This window comes from Homo sapiens, chromosome 5 (assembly GCF_000001405.40).
Source record: "Homo sapiens chromosome 5, GRCh38.p14 Primary Assembly".
In the NCBI taxonomy this organism is placed as follows: Eukaryota; Metazoa; Chordata; class Mammalia; order Primates; family Hominidae; genus Homo; species Homo sapiens.
Window position 1 is genome coordinate 21813674 of NC_000005.10, and position 17472 is coordinate 21831145.

Here is a 17472-nt window from a genome sequence, read left to right on the forward strand (position 1 = left end):
CCTAGTACACTCCCAATTCAGAGATTTTGAAATTGCTGCTCAAACTTTTAGGAACTCACATCACCCAAATACCACATGGTCAGGTTTTTGCTCATATTCCCTTCTAATACAGAAGTCTTTTTTTATTTTTCACCTCACTGTAAGATACCCTCCACCCTCCACATGCCTTTTACCCCTTCATCCTACTTTAAGTCTTTCTAGCTTGAATTCATCACTGCTGAAAGTGATTTCTAATTTGTTTGTTTATCTCCTGACGTCCTCAGTTGAATGGAAGCTGAGTATGAGTGCAGGCAGTGTGTTTGTTGAGTTCACTGCCCTATCTCCATAGTGGAGTCTGGAAAACAGTGGCTGCTTCCAAAATACCTGTTGAATGAAGTAGTGAAAGTTATGGACATTGAGCTTTACTTAGATAATGAATTTCAGGCCAGTAAAATGGACAACAATGATTCATCCACCACAGGAGAAATGAGTGTGTGTGTGTGTGTGTGTGTGTGTGTGTGTGTGTGTGTGTGTTTTATTTGCAGATATACTTTCAAGATTATCTACCCTATCTAAATCTATTTTAATAAAAGTATTATATAATTTTGCATATCTCAATTTTAATCCAGTTAAGAAGAATAAAAATTCTAAATAAACACAATAAATACAAAAAATAAATAACATGACTCATTCTCTGTAGATGTTTCATAATGAAAAAGGCAGATATGTTCTTATTGCTTTCATGATAGTTGAACTTACATAACTGAATGATTACTTTCAAAGATTAATATGTTTTGATATAATAAGATAAAGGACTATTATTAAACCACGCCTTTTTCAACTGTTTTAAAAATAAATAAGAATGACATACATTTTTCTAGATTGACACCTAGACATTGATTACTTATTGGTATAGGTGGTAAATATGTGTAAATAAAAATGAAAACATAAACATAAAACTATGTGTGTGAATATAAAGTAAGTTACAATAATTAAATATAAATAAGTATATAAACATAAATATATATAAAGTATATCTAGAATTGAATCTTTCGTACCTTAATTTTACTTTGGAAGTATACTTAATTTTATATTTAAATATTATGACTTCTTAATTTAAAATATTTTTTATATTATTAATGATTTTTATTTGTTCCATTTGAATAGATGATTGTAACCCATTTAAATGTGATTTCTTTGTTGGAGACCTTCTTAGGGAAAAAATTAAGTGAGAAGACTTTACATTGATTTGGGACTAAAAGAAAAAGAGAAAAACAAACTAAATAACAATGAAGGAGTAAAGTTGATAAGAATTTGACATATTTTTCTAACTGTACTTTGCAAATTTAACATAAATGCTTAATTTAATAGAGTGGGATCATGTGGGTTAAATTAATTTCTAGACTAAGCGTAATTTTTGCACAATAGTAGAAATAAAAATATGATAATCTATTTGAAAAATGTGTTTCTTTTTAAGAGTATTTTCATTACCATATATATTGCTTCCTTGTTAAAATTCAGAATTCCTGAGCAAATATGGGAGGGGCAGACTGATTAATGGAACTAAATGCAAAGTATTTATTCTGGTTAAAATAATTACAATGAGTAAATGAGTATTGTATACTGCAGTTTGGAGTATATTCTTCAAAATTCTTCAAAATGGAGTGTGTTTTGTAGAAGGGGAGGAAATGGCTGAACTAAATGAGCTTCACTTTTCTGCCTTTACTTTGCTATTGGAAATTCCTATAATTTGCCTCACTATTATGGAAAAAATGTGCACACCTTAAATGCCATTATAATTTTTCTTTCTCACATTAACAGACTCCTTCATGTCACCACCCAACAAAAGACAAAACTACAGACACTGTAAATAATAATTTCTTCCTAATATTTCAACTAACTTTGCCCTCAGCAATCCTCTTTGGCTCTAATCCATATGTCATTACTAAACAGCTTCCCAGCGCAGTCTGTCTTTCTCTCTCTCTCGGTTTCTTGGTAATTCTTTTTCACTTTCTTCCTTAAAGCTCTCTCACGTCCATTACTGGCCTTTCACATTTCTTCTAGTTCTCAGGTGTTTAGAGCTTACACGCATCAGTATGCTTCCACTGTGATATCAACCAACATTGTGGTGAATTAGATATTTATATCTTCAGAAGAACCATAAAAAGGCTCAATATCAAGACTGATGGGGTTAGAGTTACTTCTCAATCTTGTTTTTAAATTAATCTTTTGTCTATATTTATAGCAATAAAAAATTAGGTTACAATTAAACTCTGTAAGAATCTTTTTTAAATGATGTCATCAAATTATCAGGCCTAATTGTTCAACATAAAATATATAATAGTTGAATCACAGAATAATAGCACCTATAGAAGTAAATACTCAGCATCACTAGGTCTTTTTTGTTTTCAATTTAAAATACAGTTGACTCCTGAGCAACATGGGTTTGGACTGTGCAGGGCCACTTATATGTGGATTTTCCTCTGCCTCTGCCATCCCTGACACAGCAATACCAGCCCCTCCTCTTCCTCCTTCTCCTCAGCCTACTCAATGTGAAGATGATGAGGATGAAGACCTTTATGATGATCCACTAGTGCTTAACAAATAGTAAATACATTTCCTTTTGCTTATGATTTTCTTAATAACATTTTCTCCTCTCTAGCTTACTTTATTGTAAGAATACAGTATATACGGCTGGGTGTGGTGGCTTACGCCTATAACCCCAGCACTTTGGGAGGCCGAGGCAGGTGGATCACGAGGTCAGGAGTTTGAGACCAGCCTGACCAACATGGTGAAATCCCTTCTCTACTAAAAATACAAAAACTAGCCGGGCGTGGTGGTGCACATCTGTAATCCCAGCTACTCAGGAGTTTGAGGCAGGAGAATCCCTTGAAACTGGGATGCAGAGTTTGCAGTGAGCTGACATCTCACCACTGCACTCCAGCCTGGGTAACAGAGTGCAACTCCATCTCAAAAAAAAAAAAAAAAAAAAAAAAAAAAAGAATAGAGTATATACTATATATAAGATACAAACTATGTGTCAAATGTTTATGTGATTGGTAAAGCTTCTGGTCAAGAGTAAGCTATTAGTACGGAAATTTTGTAAGATCCAAAAGATACATGCAGATTTTTGACGGCACGGAGTATCAGTACCCCAACTCTCACATGGTTCAAGGGTCAACTCTATTGCTAATTGAAGGAAAATTAAAATTACTTGTCATTTTCAATATTTATTTTTTATCTTCTTTAATTATTATTTAGTAGTCAACTGTCCCAACATTTGTCTATATACCTTTTTCAATTTGATGACTCCCTCTTGTGTATCCTCATCTGTGACGATGTCAAACAAATTTCCCCCATCTCCTGGAACAATATTGTATTCAATTTCTGCATTTTGTCCAAAATCAGGATCCACAGCTCTTATTCTTCCAATAGCTGAACCAATAGGGGAAGACTCAGGAACTTTCAAGTGGAAGATGCCTGATAAGACATATAAAATTTGAATTGACAGTGGGGTTAGTAAGAGATATAGTAAGATTACAAGGCTTGAAAAATAGAGTCCACTGAAAGTAAATCACATTTAGAACATTATAGTGCAAATTGAAAAGGCAATTTGCTGTCAAGTTAAGGATTATGATTAGGAGTAATAACTTCACTTTTCTCTTCAATATGTGCTGCTCTAGAATTTTAACTGGGCATTATAAATAGTAGAGAATGCTAAAGTAAAATTATTAGCAGGACTTGTTTTACACACTTATATGGCATAAAAGTGTACCACATATCAAATGGGAGGGTGGGACTATTCATGAAATTAATTGGTACTAATAATACAGGTTGCAAGACATAGATAAAAAGTTATAGATACATAGATAGATGATAGATAGATGATAGATAGATAGATAGGTGATAGATATATAGATATAGAAAGTTGAGGTTATATTTCCTAAAACTAATGACTTCAATAAGTATACATCATTAAACTAAAAATAACCTGTAAAATAATTTGTATAATCAAAATTCTAGTCGATGATAGATTGAAATATAGTATATTATAGACTAAGATTCAGCTTATATTTAGTGAATTTTAACTTGTCACCTTTCTATATACTTTTACTGATATTTTAAATCATAAAGTTCTGTCTCCCGAAGTTTTTTAATAGCATTAAGAAAGAAAAAAAAGTAAAATGCTTATTTTTACCACCAGGTGGAGCGTTTATATTACTATGAAATTTATACTGAATCAGCAAAACTTAGATAAAACATTTCAGAATCATGGAAAATTGTAATACTCTACAAAAAAATAAAAACATAGACATTATTTTAAGGTTTTGTAGAATTTTTCAAAGTTTGACACACAAGAAAGATATAGTGCATGCTCTTTTACTGACATTTCATTAAAGCAAATATTAATGAGTTTAACAACAGTCTGTTCAAATTCAAATGAGGAAAGGAAATGAGAGAAAATAAAAATTAAGAAACAAAACTAAACACCAAAATCTAAAGTTTCCATTTTGATACTGGAGTTCCACTTTCAGTTTCTCTTACCGGATTTAGAATGGCTCTTTCCCATGGGTAAATCAACCATGGTGATTCATTCGTTTTAGAATTTTAGTTACACATTTGTGGAAAATAAATTAAGAAGTTACTATAAATGTCTGTTGCATAGGGAAGTTCATTAAAAAATCATGTTACAATATTACAGTTATTTTCTCCAAGAAGGTGTGAGAAAAAAATCAATCACATCTTGTAGAGATTCTGCCAGATATTTTCTTTTTGATTTCCCATTATTTTTTGAGGTCCTGTAGTTCTTTCACAATCAGTTTCAAAACTTGGTAATTTCATTAGCATGGGAAGCAGTTAAATCTCCCTTCTTCCCTCCTTCCCCCAGAAAATGGTATCTACCATTTATCTTGAATATGCAGATCAGCCGTATTTAAATCCAACATATTATCTCCATGGAACATATATGTGATTTGGTCTCAAGAGAGCTAAATACTCAACTAAAGTTTGTTTATTTTACATATAAGACAAAATGATACTTTACAGTGGTCCACAAGAGTTATATTTAAATAATTAGCTTAGTTAATTCATACTTTCAAAGAGGGTATGAGGAATCTTTCTCAAAAATGCACTTAAAAGTTTAAATAAATAAAAAAATAAACATTATAGACCTAACAACAACAACAAAAAACTCCTTCCAAGTCACAATGCTAAAATGTTACATAGATATTATGAAGGAATCTCAGTTAAGGAAAGTCACATTAATTGATCAAAGTAGTAATTTCTCATAGGGTAGGATTATTGTTTTATTTTTATTTCCTAAGCACTTAACATAGTAGCTGTCATTTAGGGATGCTTAATGTTTGCTGAACTTAAAGCAGTGATTGAATTTGAGGCAATCAAATCAAAGAAGAAAAACAAAAGAATGGGTTACATTGCATTCCTATTTTCTACCAGAAGGATAAAGCCAGATATTCAGGAGGAATCTATCTGATTTCAAATAGCCTTAATTACATAAGCAGAATCTATCATGGCTTTTGGAACTACTTTCTTTAGATCATAAATATTTCTTAATAGATAAATTAAACCATGATCCTAGTGAGGCACTCCTGAGATATTAGGAAATATAAGGGTCCCTGAACTTCTGTTTAATGAGGCAAGAAAGCATGTGACAAAGTTATTACAGTTGTACTAAACTTAAGGACAAATTCCAAAGAAAAAGGACAAGGCACAGAACGTGTAATTTTTCATTTTCCTTTTTTTCTTCTAAAATGCCCGTTAAATGGAAATACGATTTATCAGAAACTGTGTTTGTATCTTTTGCCTCTTGTTGTGTGACTGTGATGAAGTATCTGAGGAACATCAAAAGCTTTGAATTCACGGTACGATTGGTCATAGTCCAAACTCGTGGCTCATAAATGAGTGTTAGAAAAAGTCTAAATTTTTTTTCTAATAAAAGAGAGAAATGGAAGTCGATGTTGAATAGTGTACTAGAAATCCTTCTTGATTAGGACATTTAGTAGGAAACTTAGGGGTAAACATTATCAAGGAAATAACTGAACAAGTGTTCAGAGAGACAGAGAGCCGTCAAGTATAGTGGATTTCAAACTTCAAATGTGGCCAGCAGTGGGAGTGGTAAGGGTGAAACAGTGAGAGTCATAAGGAGCGGAGTAGTATGAGAAATTTAGGAACACATGTGCATCTCACTTAAAGAGCTGGGGACATTTCTGTTTATTCCATCCAATCCATTCAATGAGAGCCAGTTGAAGTTACATATTAGGTTTATGAGTTAGCTTTACATTTACATTTGGATGGTTAAAAGCAAAAGTAAAGGAAATTACACATCGATGAAAATGATAGAGCCTGGAGTCCTCTCTAATGGATTATGGTTAGTGAAGGTGAAGAGTTTAGCCAGAGTTGAGATCCTCCAATATGGGGGAAAAAAAATTAAAGCATTGAAAGGTAATCCAAAGGGCATCAGATAATTCAAACTGCAGATGAAAGAGCCCCCTTTCCAAGACAATAATATGCTGAGATACGAACTTTATGTTCTATAAAAGAACATTTTATGGGGCTAGTCACAATAAATGTAAAGAAAGCTATTCTTTGTAGTATTCTATCAATTTAAGTTAAATAGGGTGTTTTGTTTTAAGTTGTCAGCATAGAGAGTGCCAACAAATTCCATTTTTATCTAATGGCATTGAAAAATTGTGATAAATTGAAATAATAGCATTGTCCAATAATGATTGATTTACTAGCATTCCACTAACATGCACCCCTTCAAAATTAAGATAAAAGTAAAGCAATGATTACTTTTTGTGTGTGTTAAGTTTTAGTGCATGTGAAATGCAAATATACAGAGCAATAGATTTTCTACTCTTTACACAGCAGACATACATTTTAGTAAGGTGGAAGACACGTTCATTAAGATAAGTGTTTCTTAATAAAATATTACAGCTGGTAATAAAGTCTGCAGAATATGGAACAAGTCAGAGAAACTATGCATTTGTCATGTCAGATTGTTTAGGTTCTGTCGGTTTATTTCCAATGACTTGACATTTTATCATGTCTGGAATCTCAACAGCAATAAAGCTGAGGTCATTCAGATTAATTCAAAACTGTGAAGTAATCTTCAGCTATGCCAAAGTTGGATTGTTCATGATGTACTGTGTAATTACACCGCCACCGTCTTCCAGGCGTCCTACTTTTGATGCATATGAAACATCTTAATGGCACTACCTGTACCACACAAATTGAGAAATAAAACAGGTGACAAGAGATTGTCCACAGTCAATAAAAATATATATTTACAATTCATCAAATATACCTATTGTGCTTAGCCAAAATCTTCATTTTCCCATAGAAAAGGAGGAAATTGCATGCAGTGAACTAATTATAATGATCATATTCTTAAATATAATATTCCCTGTTAGTTCCAAGAGTAGAAAAAAATCAGGTAGTTATAAGCTAAGTATCCTCTCAGTAACTATGTCATTTGAAAAGATACTGATTAGGACTTAAACTGTGTGTCGGGCGGGGAGAGTGGGGACAGGTAGGGGACATGCATTGCTACTTTAAAAAAAAAGGATGTAAAATATATTTACCTTCCTTTTTTTGTTTATTGCAGGAAATTTCCAGATACTGATGAAAACACCAAAATAAATATATTTACTTGACAAAATATAAATGAAGATCTTTACTTAAAAATAAAGATTATAGGACCTGAACAAATATATTAAGTGAATGAATGACTTTAAAAATACCACAACATTCAATGACACCAATAGCAAGTTAAAAAGAAGATAAAATAATCCATTACAAACTCACTTTTGAAATACATTTTATTTTATCTTTATGTAACAATAATTCTAAAGTTACTTAAAAAAAAGGAAGTCAATGTTTAACTGCAAATAAGTTACCTAAATACAAGTAACTAATGTGAATATAATTCATATTTAATAATACAAGAACACTAGAAATATTGGAGGGCTTAAGAACAAATTATTTCAAATTGATGAAAATGTTAAACATTTTTAAAAACTCAAAAACATACACTTGATTCCAACTAAATAGACTATGATTTGAAATATTACATTTCAATTTAAACTTCAAAAAATAAATATAGCACTGAACTATTGATTCAGTAATTGAATTCAAACATTAGATTGTTCAAATGATCCTGCATACTTTTTGTGTGTGTGAGTGATTTACCTTCTAATGGCTTAGAAATAAAATTTTGTTGTATCAATATTTTATTTTTTTAAATTTCTTAAATATGTATCACACAAAATTATTTCACCTTACTTAAACAACACGAAAAGGAAATACAAGTAAACAACATATTGTGTGAGTAAAAAGAAACTTTATAGAAATTGTGTACCTGTAGCTCTGTGACCCTGGGCAAAATATTTTAAACATCCCTCTTTTCCTGATCGTTTAAAATATCTCTCTTTTCCTGATCTGTAAAATTAGTATAACAATATCTACTTTATAGATTTGTTTTTGAAAGTCACTTATACAAAAGTGCATGAAACTCATTCAGTATTATTTATTACTAGTTAACTTTTATAATATTTGTATATTATAATATTTGTATATAATATTTGTATAGTCTATATGTATTATAATTTTTCCTATCAGAATGGCAATAGCCAATAGGAAACTGTCTATAGAGGTGTGGAGATGAAAGAAAGACAGATCTTAAAAGAGTTCTAAAAAGTCGTTTTAATTTTAATTAAAATATTTTCCCATATCTTTAAAATTGGAGGATTCAGGAAGAAAAAAAATGTTTTGGTGGTGGAAGAACATTTTATGCCCTCTATTTCCTTAAAAGCCTGAGGCTGTATTTTCAATATGCCCAAATTAAAGTAATAGAAATGTTGTCCATAAGAAAGAACTATCCTGATAACAAAGCTGGGTTCAAGCTGGATTTTAGTCAAGCATACTAAACATACAGTGAATGGAATCTCTCAGTAATAACAGAAACATCCACTGCTGCTCATTCCCAGGATGAGGCTAGGATGGGCATAGTTTTTAAGTGTCAAGTATTTGGCACTAGAGCTTCACTTTATTGGTTAAATTACTTCGCTTTTGAGATGTTATATTTGCCCATTCTCGATTTTAACTAACCATATACATGAATAAGAATTGCCATGCACACAATATCCGTCATATTAATGAATTAAGATTTATAAATTTTCTGTAACAATAGCAATATTTCTTGTCTCTGAACAATGAGAAATTTATTCCTGTAAACTTTTTTCTAGTTCTGAGCAGCTAAACGCAATAGAAAAATTTAAGGCTCGATATTAAATTGTCTTTCAAAAATTATCTTTGCATAGTAGATTAATTGCTTAATTTTCCGGTATCTCAGATTATTGATATTTGATTCAACTACAGTTTTTAGTGGTCTCCTTCATGGAATGACAAGGAAAAACACATAAACAAAAAGACAAGTGTTTTTCTTGATGGCATTTATGGTCTAGTGGGAGAGAAGTCAATTAAACAATCACACAAAAAAGTAAAATAGCAGAAAAAAACACCAGCGCTCTAAAGGAAAGTTACACAATTCTATTCAATGTTTAAACTGAGAATCCGAGCTGAGACAATACCATTGGGTTCTGTGAGGTCAGCTAATAGAAAACATTCCAAACAGAAGTAACCATATGACAAAGGTGATATGATCATAGTTTCCTGTCTTACCAGTTTGTTTGTTCAATAACTCCCACTGGGACCTATCATCTCTAATGTCAGAAGCACCTCTAGTATATTAACCTATAGCCTATATAGCTTGGCCATGTACTTTTGTTGCTGCAATTTGGCAAACCCTAACTCTTGATGATGATAATTATCTTCCTTCTAAAGGAGGAGGGATGGTTTACTGAGGAAAACCATAGAGAAGCAACTAGATATTACTATAAATTATGATCATTAACTTTGAATGCCCCTTCAAAATTGCTTAAAAAGCACACAGATTTGCAAAGGTAACTGACTACCATTCTCTGTGACTTCTATTTTGAACTGATCTACTGTCCTTAAATATCTGCTTAAGTACTCCCTTTACTACTTCCTTTCTCAGTTGGTGACCTTGCCTTGTAGTTCACAGAAAAAGAAAAAAAAATGATGTTGCACAGGAGATTGCTCAGCTTCCCCAACCTTCAAAGGATCCTACATCAGTGTGACTCACAGTTTGAATAATCATAACATGTAAGATATGATACAAACTTTTTTTTTTATTTGTCTCTCACTCTTCCTTTAGACTTTCTTCTGTCGGGGTATGCTTTGTCTTTTCTTGGATGAAGACAATGGTGAGTAAATGATGTTTCTTCTCACTATTAAATAATAATCCTATGTTCACTTTAATTCTAAAAACATAGATTTGGAAGTTAGACATTTCCAATAAATCATATTAACTAGCACATCAATCCATATGCAAAATTAAGACTTCTCCCCTTGGCCACCCCACCCACGTCCAAGCCAATTAGAGCCAGCAGCAGATGGGACATTGAGTTGGGATCTGGATGGATTAGCAGCCTTTCTCTGTCCAAATTTTTAATTTTTTTTTCATCATCTCCTTTCCTGGGGTGTTTTCACCTCACCATTGGAGGCAGCAAAGTTAGGAGGCTGGACTGTTCTTACTTGATGATGTGGTTTTTGCTTCTCTGGAGCTGCACAGTGCACTTGGGGGCAGCTCTTGGAAGTTTCTCTTGCAGCAGCCTCCACACCAATGGCATTGCCTCTGCTTTGATGGACTATGACCTCAGCCTCCAGATTTCAGGCGACCCACTCCACAGGCAGATTCTCGCTTCAAGGAGAATCTCTTTGGCAGGACTTAACATAATGTTGGGTTGGTTTTCCCTTCTGCTTACTCATTTCTTGCCATTCCTTTTGTTGTCATACAATTAGTTTCCCAAACACAGCCTTGTTCTCTTTTCCTTTCTCTGCTGTTTTCAGGAGATTTTAACTTTCCTCAGCATGAGACGCATATCATTCCATGAATTTCCCCCATTTTCTGGGAAAATATATTAGAGTTTATTGTTTGTCTTAGCTAAATGGAAGGCCCCATTCACCAAACTTGAGAGGAGTAGGAAGGACAATCCTACCACTCACTTTTAGTAGACAGGGACTACACATGGCTTTCTCCAAAGAAATCCTCTGCACATAATTTTCCCTCTACTTCACACTCTACAAAACATGCTTTAAAAGACTAACAAAATATTGCCCAGGCACAGTGGCTCAAGTCTGTAATCCCAGCACTTTGGGAAGCCAAGAGGGGCCGATCACCTGAGCTCAGGAGTTCGAGACCGGCCTGGCCAACATGGTGAAACTCCATCTCTACCAAAAATAAAAAAATTAGCCGGGTGTGGTAGTGTGTGCCCGTAATCCCAGTTACTTGGGAGCTGAGGCAGGATAATCACTTGAGCCAGGGAGGCAGATGTTGCAGTGAGCTGAGATCATGCCACTGCACACCAGCCTGGGGGACAGAGTGAGACTCTATCTCAAAAAAAAAAAAAAAAGAAAAAAAACTAACAAAATATCTTCCTATGACTGAAAGCTACAAGAGCCTTAAAAGCATCCTGATATTTCCATTGTAAATTCTGATCTGAGACCATACTCTGCTATGTAGTATCTATTGTATGTTAGCTTTATAGTGCATACTTCAGTATTAACCTCTTGTTATAGCTGTAAGCATTCTTTCAATTGAAGTGTCCTTCATCTCCACTTTTTCTTCTTAAACTCCAACAATTTGTACACATTTTGCTATTTTTAAAGAATCTGTTTTCTCTGCACTCAATACTTTCTTCTCAATAGAGTTATTCTTGATGAGACACAAACTGCTCATATTTGAGCATCTTAACAAAAATTCTCCCTTGTCCCAAATCTGATTCTAGTTACCCCCATCATTTTCTTTTCCCTTTCCAACAGAACTTTTCCAAGAGAAACACTGTTACCCATGCCTACTTAACAACCACTCCACAAGCAGCCTTACCCTGCTGACTGAACCCATCATTGTGTAGTAAAGTTTCCCCTGAGATATAGTGACTTCCTTGCCACTAAAATCCAGTGGCAATGTCTTAGCAGTGTTCAACACTCTTGGCTATTCCCTGTTTTCTGAAGCACATCTCTTCTGAGACTCTACAATTACGGTTTTCTGGCACTCTACTATCATAGTTTCCTCCCACCTTGCAGCTCTCTCCTTGCCAGATTCCTTTGTGGAAATTCTTAGAAAAGATCTGGATAAGTGATTCTCAAACTTGGTTGCATTTTGGTATCATCTGGAAAGTTAAACAGTTTTTTAAATGCTTTAGCCCAGGGACCATCCAAAGAGATTCTGTTTAGTTGTTCTGAGTTTAGAGCTGCATTTATTAAATTCCCTCCTGTTCTACTTTACAAACGTGGTCAAGAACCATTTTTGCAGGCTATGTTTATTCAGTCTTTCCTTTTCCTAGGTAACTTCATCTCTCCCTTTTGCTTCATTTACTATCATTATGCTAAACATTCTTTTTATTTTAACTCCAGCCTATATTCAGCTTTTGAGTTTTCCTACTATACTTGGCAAAATATCATCTTATTCCAAAACATTACTTGGATATCTCCAAGGTGTCTCAGTTTTGACATATTCAAACATGAGATCATAGACTTGCCATGCCTAGATGAAGATTCTCCTACTAGTCACTCTCTCAGCAAGTAGTATTTCCACCTCTCCAGTTCCATGAACTAGAATCTGCTTCTTAGTAGCAAATCCACTGCTATTATTGATTATTTTACCTCCTAAAATCACTCAAATCTGTTGACACGCTACCATTTTTCACAATGGCCCTGGTCACCACCATCACAGACTCATACTTCTTTTCTGTTACTGCAGATGCCTGCTAACTGGTCTTCTGACATTATTCTCTACCCCTGGCCTGAGGTGTCTTTCCATTCTGCACAGCAAGGATAGAGAGGTCATTTCCATCACTCCTAGGTAAAAACTCATTGTCTTCTTTCATGTAGCGGGGAAATTACCCTTTTAGAAAATCCATGTGTGTCAACATGAAGGAAACGAATAAATTTTTAAATAGAAATTATTCTTTAAGAGGAATAGACACTTAGTAACAGCAACCACTTATATAGTGCTTTCTATTTTCCAGGCACTTTTCTAAGCACGTTTCCATTATTAACTAATTTTATCTTCACATCAAGACTATGAGATACCTGCTATTACTGTAACTTCCAGTCAGTTATATCCTGGTAAATATTTTAGAACTATATTGGGATAGGGAGAAAAAACAGGTATGAGCCCTAATGTTCAGGGTCTGTTCATTGCTGTGGTGTAAGAGCTCCCACCATGACCTATATCAAGCTACTATCGTGATGTCTTGAACACACAGTTGAGAAGAAAAAGGCACAATTGGTTCTGCTGATCTGGTAGAACCTACTATCAGTCTACAAATGAGCAAGCTGGGGGCTAATGGCCATGAGGTGAGTCAAGCAAGTAGTATCTCTGATTGAAAACATAGTTCCTCATTTTGTCTGCCCACTTCTGTTGACTTGGTTGTGCTGCCTGAAAGTCAACCAAATAGATACAATATTTGGTTGATCCATAAGATCTTTTAAAATTCAGAAAATTCAAAATTCTTAATTTTAGCTAGACTGAGTGATGCAAATTTCAATTTACTAAGTATTGAGTGGATTGGGCACACTTGAGGAAAGTTTCCCTTTTCAGTGATTGGAGAGAAAACTCCATGAAAACCTTTAAAAAAAAGGTCATTAGGAGATGTGACAAGGTTCTAGAAGAGGATAGGGCACTAAACATAAAATAATTCTGCTACTGCACCCAAGAAAGAAAAGAAAACTTATTACATCTCTTTCTGTTTTTCCAATTCTTCCTTTCTTCTTACAAAGCTCACAACATTAAAGTACGAATTATTACGTTTAATACTATAGTTCTACTACTTATTATGTTTAATAAATGCCTATCTGCAAAACTAATTGTCCATTGTAACATTATTTTTTAAAGCAAATGCATCAGAAATTCCAACCAACCCAATTCCAAATAGGCTATGGTACAAAACCAACTTATATTACTTAATGATTTTCAGAAAAATTGGGGTTTCTGATTCTCCAAAGTATGTATTTTTAACATAAGTGATTTATATAATCACTATTCTTGTTACACAATAATAAACATGACGGCAATTTTGGCAAGAGTTCACAACATTTCAAGTGCATCAATAATTTTTCATTGTTATATATTTCATGAAGTACATTTAATATTCTCTTAAAACCTCCATTGAATATTTAAACCTTTGTTTATGTTGTCTTTATCTAGGTAATTTCTGATCCATTTAACAATATATGGTAAATGGAAAATTCTCAGTGATACTGCCTAATAACTTTACAAAAATATGCCACAAGCAACACTAAAAGTTTTTTCATAAATTATAAATAAATTTAACACCTTACAAAATAAGCTTTGAAAAACAATGAATTTTTTTTTTTTTTTGAGATGGAGTCTCACTCTGTTGCCCAGGCTGGAGTGCAGTGACAGGATCTCATCTCACTGCACCGTCCACCTTCCGGGTTCAAGCAATTCTCCTGTCTCAGCCTCCCAAGTAGCCGGGGCTACAGTTGCATGCCACCATGGCCAGCTAATTTTGTATTTTTAGTAAAGACGGGGTTTCACCATATTGGTCAGGCTAGTCTTGAACTCCTGACCTCAAGTGATCCACCTGCCTCGGCCTCCCAAAGTGCTGGGATTACAGGCGTGAGCCACTGAGCCTGGCCAAAAACACTGAAAATTTTAAGTTAGCTGGGGATATGTATTTACTCACAAGTTTGACTTCTCACTGGTTTTCTTCTGAGACACAGGAGAGTAGTCTAAAAAAGATGAAATTTGGTAATGGTCTCTTCCCATGTATATTTTGCTTTCTTTTAGACAAAACTAATTCTTTCATAACAACCCATTCACCAATTTGCAAATTTGATTTGTAAATATTCATCATATATTCGTGTATCACATATGGACACAATGGTTTACATTTTCTGTCTTTTCCCGCATTTTATTTTTTTAATATTTTCTGTGTCATCCCTGTTTTGTTGCTTTTACCTAAAATGTTTTACTTGTCTTCTACTTTACATATTTCTATGTATAAAATCTATTATTCTTTCAGGGACAACCTAAAGCCACATTTTGATGATTTTTTTTTCCTTTTGTCTTTGCAATTTTATTTGTTTCACATTTGTATGCTTACAACCCTTTAAATCCTATGTCTTTTTTTTTTTTTTTTTTTTTTTTGCAATGGTCTAAATATTTAGGTATATATTGTTTTTACTCCAAGTAGTGTAAATGTGCATTAACTTGAAAATCTCCCTACCTCTCTGGGCGCAGTGGCTCATGCCTGTAATCCCAGCATTTTGGGAGGCCGAGGCAGGCAGTCAGCTGAGGTCAGGAGTCTGAGGCCAGCCTGGCCAACATGGCAAAGCCCTGTCTCTACTAAAAATACAAAAATTAATCAGGTGTGGTAGTGCGTACCTGTAATCTCAATGACTCAGGAGGCTGAGGCAGGAGAATAGCTTGAACCCAGGAGGCGGAGGCTGCAGCGAGCCAAATCGTGCCACTGCACTCCACACTCTAGCCTGGGTGAGAGAGAGAGATTCCATTTCAAAATAAAAAACAAAAACCAAAAACCAAAAGCAAAAACCACTCCCTATTTTTACACTAGCTTTTAAAGAGGAGAAATTAAAATTGTATCTTCTTTATGCAGTGCAAAATGAAAATGATAATTTTTTCATCCTCTATACTTGCAATGAACGAAACATTATTCATCAAATGATATATTCCCTTGTGTCTGTTATTTGTTAACAAAATATATTTCTTATGTACCAAGTCTTTCATTTTCATGGTTTTTAGTATTGCTTAGATTCTTGTTAACTTTCATAAAAACTACTTTAGAAGTCTCATTTCCTTGTCTATATAATTTCTAAGACCAATAACAAGGCAAATATGAAATAGAGAAATGTAAACCATGTGAAATAAATGGTGACTTTAGGATGCTTTCACATCTGTGACTAAAGATTGCCGCTGCTGTCAGAAATCTATGTATTAAAGGATTGAGGAGGGTGTGTCTAAAGTTCTCCTCATAACTTCATTCTCCTACCTGGGTTTTCTTATACCCAAGACTTAAATAAAGTTATGTGTTTTTTAATCTGGCTAAGTATATCCATTCTCCAAACCTCATTGATCACTTCTATGTTTTTGTCTGTTAGAAATGTTTCTTTGGGCCTGGTGTGGTGGCTCACACGTGTAATCCCAGCACTTTGGGAGGCCGAGGCAGGTGGATCACCCGAGGTCAGGAATTTAAGACCAGCTTGGCCAACATGGTGAAACCCCATCTCTACTAAAAATACAAAAATTATCTGGGTATGTTGGCGGGTGCCTGTAATCCCAGCTACTTGGGAGGCTGAGGCAAGAGAATCACTTAAACCCAGGAGGTGGAGGTTGCAGTGAGTCAAGATCCCACCATTACACTCCAGACTGGGTGACAACAGTGAAACTCCTTCTCAAAAAAAAAAAAAAAAAAAAAAAAAAAAAAAGAAATGCTTCTTTGACTCTCACTTCTCTGCTTCTCTTTTGAGGATCCTCCATTTTCAACCACCACTTGTTCATCTCCACTCAAGCACGTTGAAAAGAGAAAGAGAGGAAAATATAAGAGGGACAAGGAGAAGGAAAAAATTAAAAATAAACATCTTTACTGTCAGATATTTTAGTTGTATTGATTTACCTAATTCTCCCAGAAGCACAGTATATTATTATGAATATGGCTATATAATTTATAAGCCAAACAGAGCCACTTTTGAGAGTAAAACAAATCAGTATGAGTAATTAATTTGGGGCCATAGGTATAAAATGGAATTATCTCTGGCACATGAGTATAGCTGATCACTCTATTTATTATCTCTGTTTGATTATGTAAAAGCTTTGCATCAGTGAGAGTTTATTCAGTTTAGTCAGGCCCCAGTGAGTAAATAGCAGAGCTGTGTTTCCCATCTGTACCTTTCCAAAACCCTAGGCCCTCTGTGCTTTACGAATCACTTTATAAGCTTAAAAATACTCACAGAGGCCAGGTATGGTGGCTCAAGCCTCTATTCCCAGCACTTTGGAAGCCTGAGGCGGGTGGATCACAAGGTCAGGAGTTCAAGACCAGCCTGGCCAAGATGGTTAAACCCTGTCTCTACTAAAAATACAAAAAAAATTAGCCGGGCATGATGGCGGGTGCCTGTAATCCCAGCTACTCGGGAGGCTGAGGCAGAGAATTGCTTGAACCTGGGAGGTGGAGGTTGCAGTGAGTCGAGATGGCACCACTGCACTCCAAGCCGGGGCGACAGAGAAAGACTCTGTCTCAAAAAAAGAAAACAAAAACAAAAACAAACAAAAAAAAACCAAGCAAACAAACAAAAAACAACATACAGTGAGACTTTAAAACAATGTCGTTTTAGCTTTGATTAGTG

At 34.4% G+C, this 17472-nt stretch overlaps 1 protein-coding gene and 1 long non-coding RNA gene across 11 annotated transcripts in view, besides 1 other annotated feature; one reads left to right on the plus strand and one right to left on the minus strand.

Moving 5' to 3' along the window:
- CDH12 (cadherin 12) overlaps positions 1-17472 on the minus strand; it is a 1102672-nt gene that overhangs the window by 63001 nt on the left and 1022199 nt on the right. For all 10 annotated transcript variants that reach the window (NM_001364104.2, NM_004061.5, NM_001364106.2 and 7 more), the window contains 1 exon segment: positions 3272-3459. In NM_001364104.2, the coding sequence (NP_001351033.1) occupies positions 3272-3459 (188 nt within the window).
- Positions 9854-12940, plus strand: LOC105374683 (uncharacterized). Its single transcript, XR_925846.3, has 3 exons — positions 9854-9962; positions 10238-10286; positions 12845-12940. It is a non-coding gene; the product is annotated as an uncharacterized LOC105374683 (long non-coding RNA).
- Positions 10063-11262: an enhancer, noted in NCBI's record as "BRD4-independent group 4 enhancer chr5:21823845-21825044 (GRCh37/hg19 assembly coordinates)". NCBI's record gives its function as "activates an origin of replication core promoter dependent on BRD2, P300/CBP, MED14 and CDK7 cofactors, and independent of BRD4, by STARR-seq in HCT116 cells {active_cell/tissue: HCT116}" and the evidence as "EXISTENCE:reporter gene assay evidence [ECO:0000049][PMID:35650434]".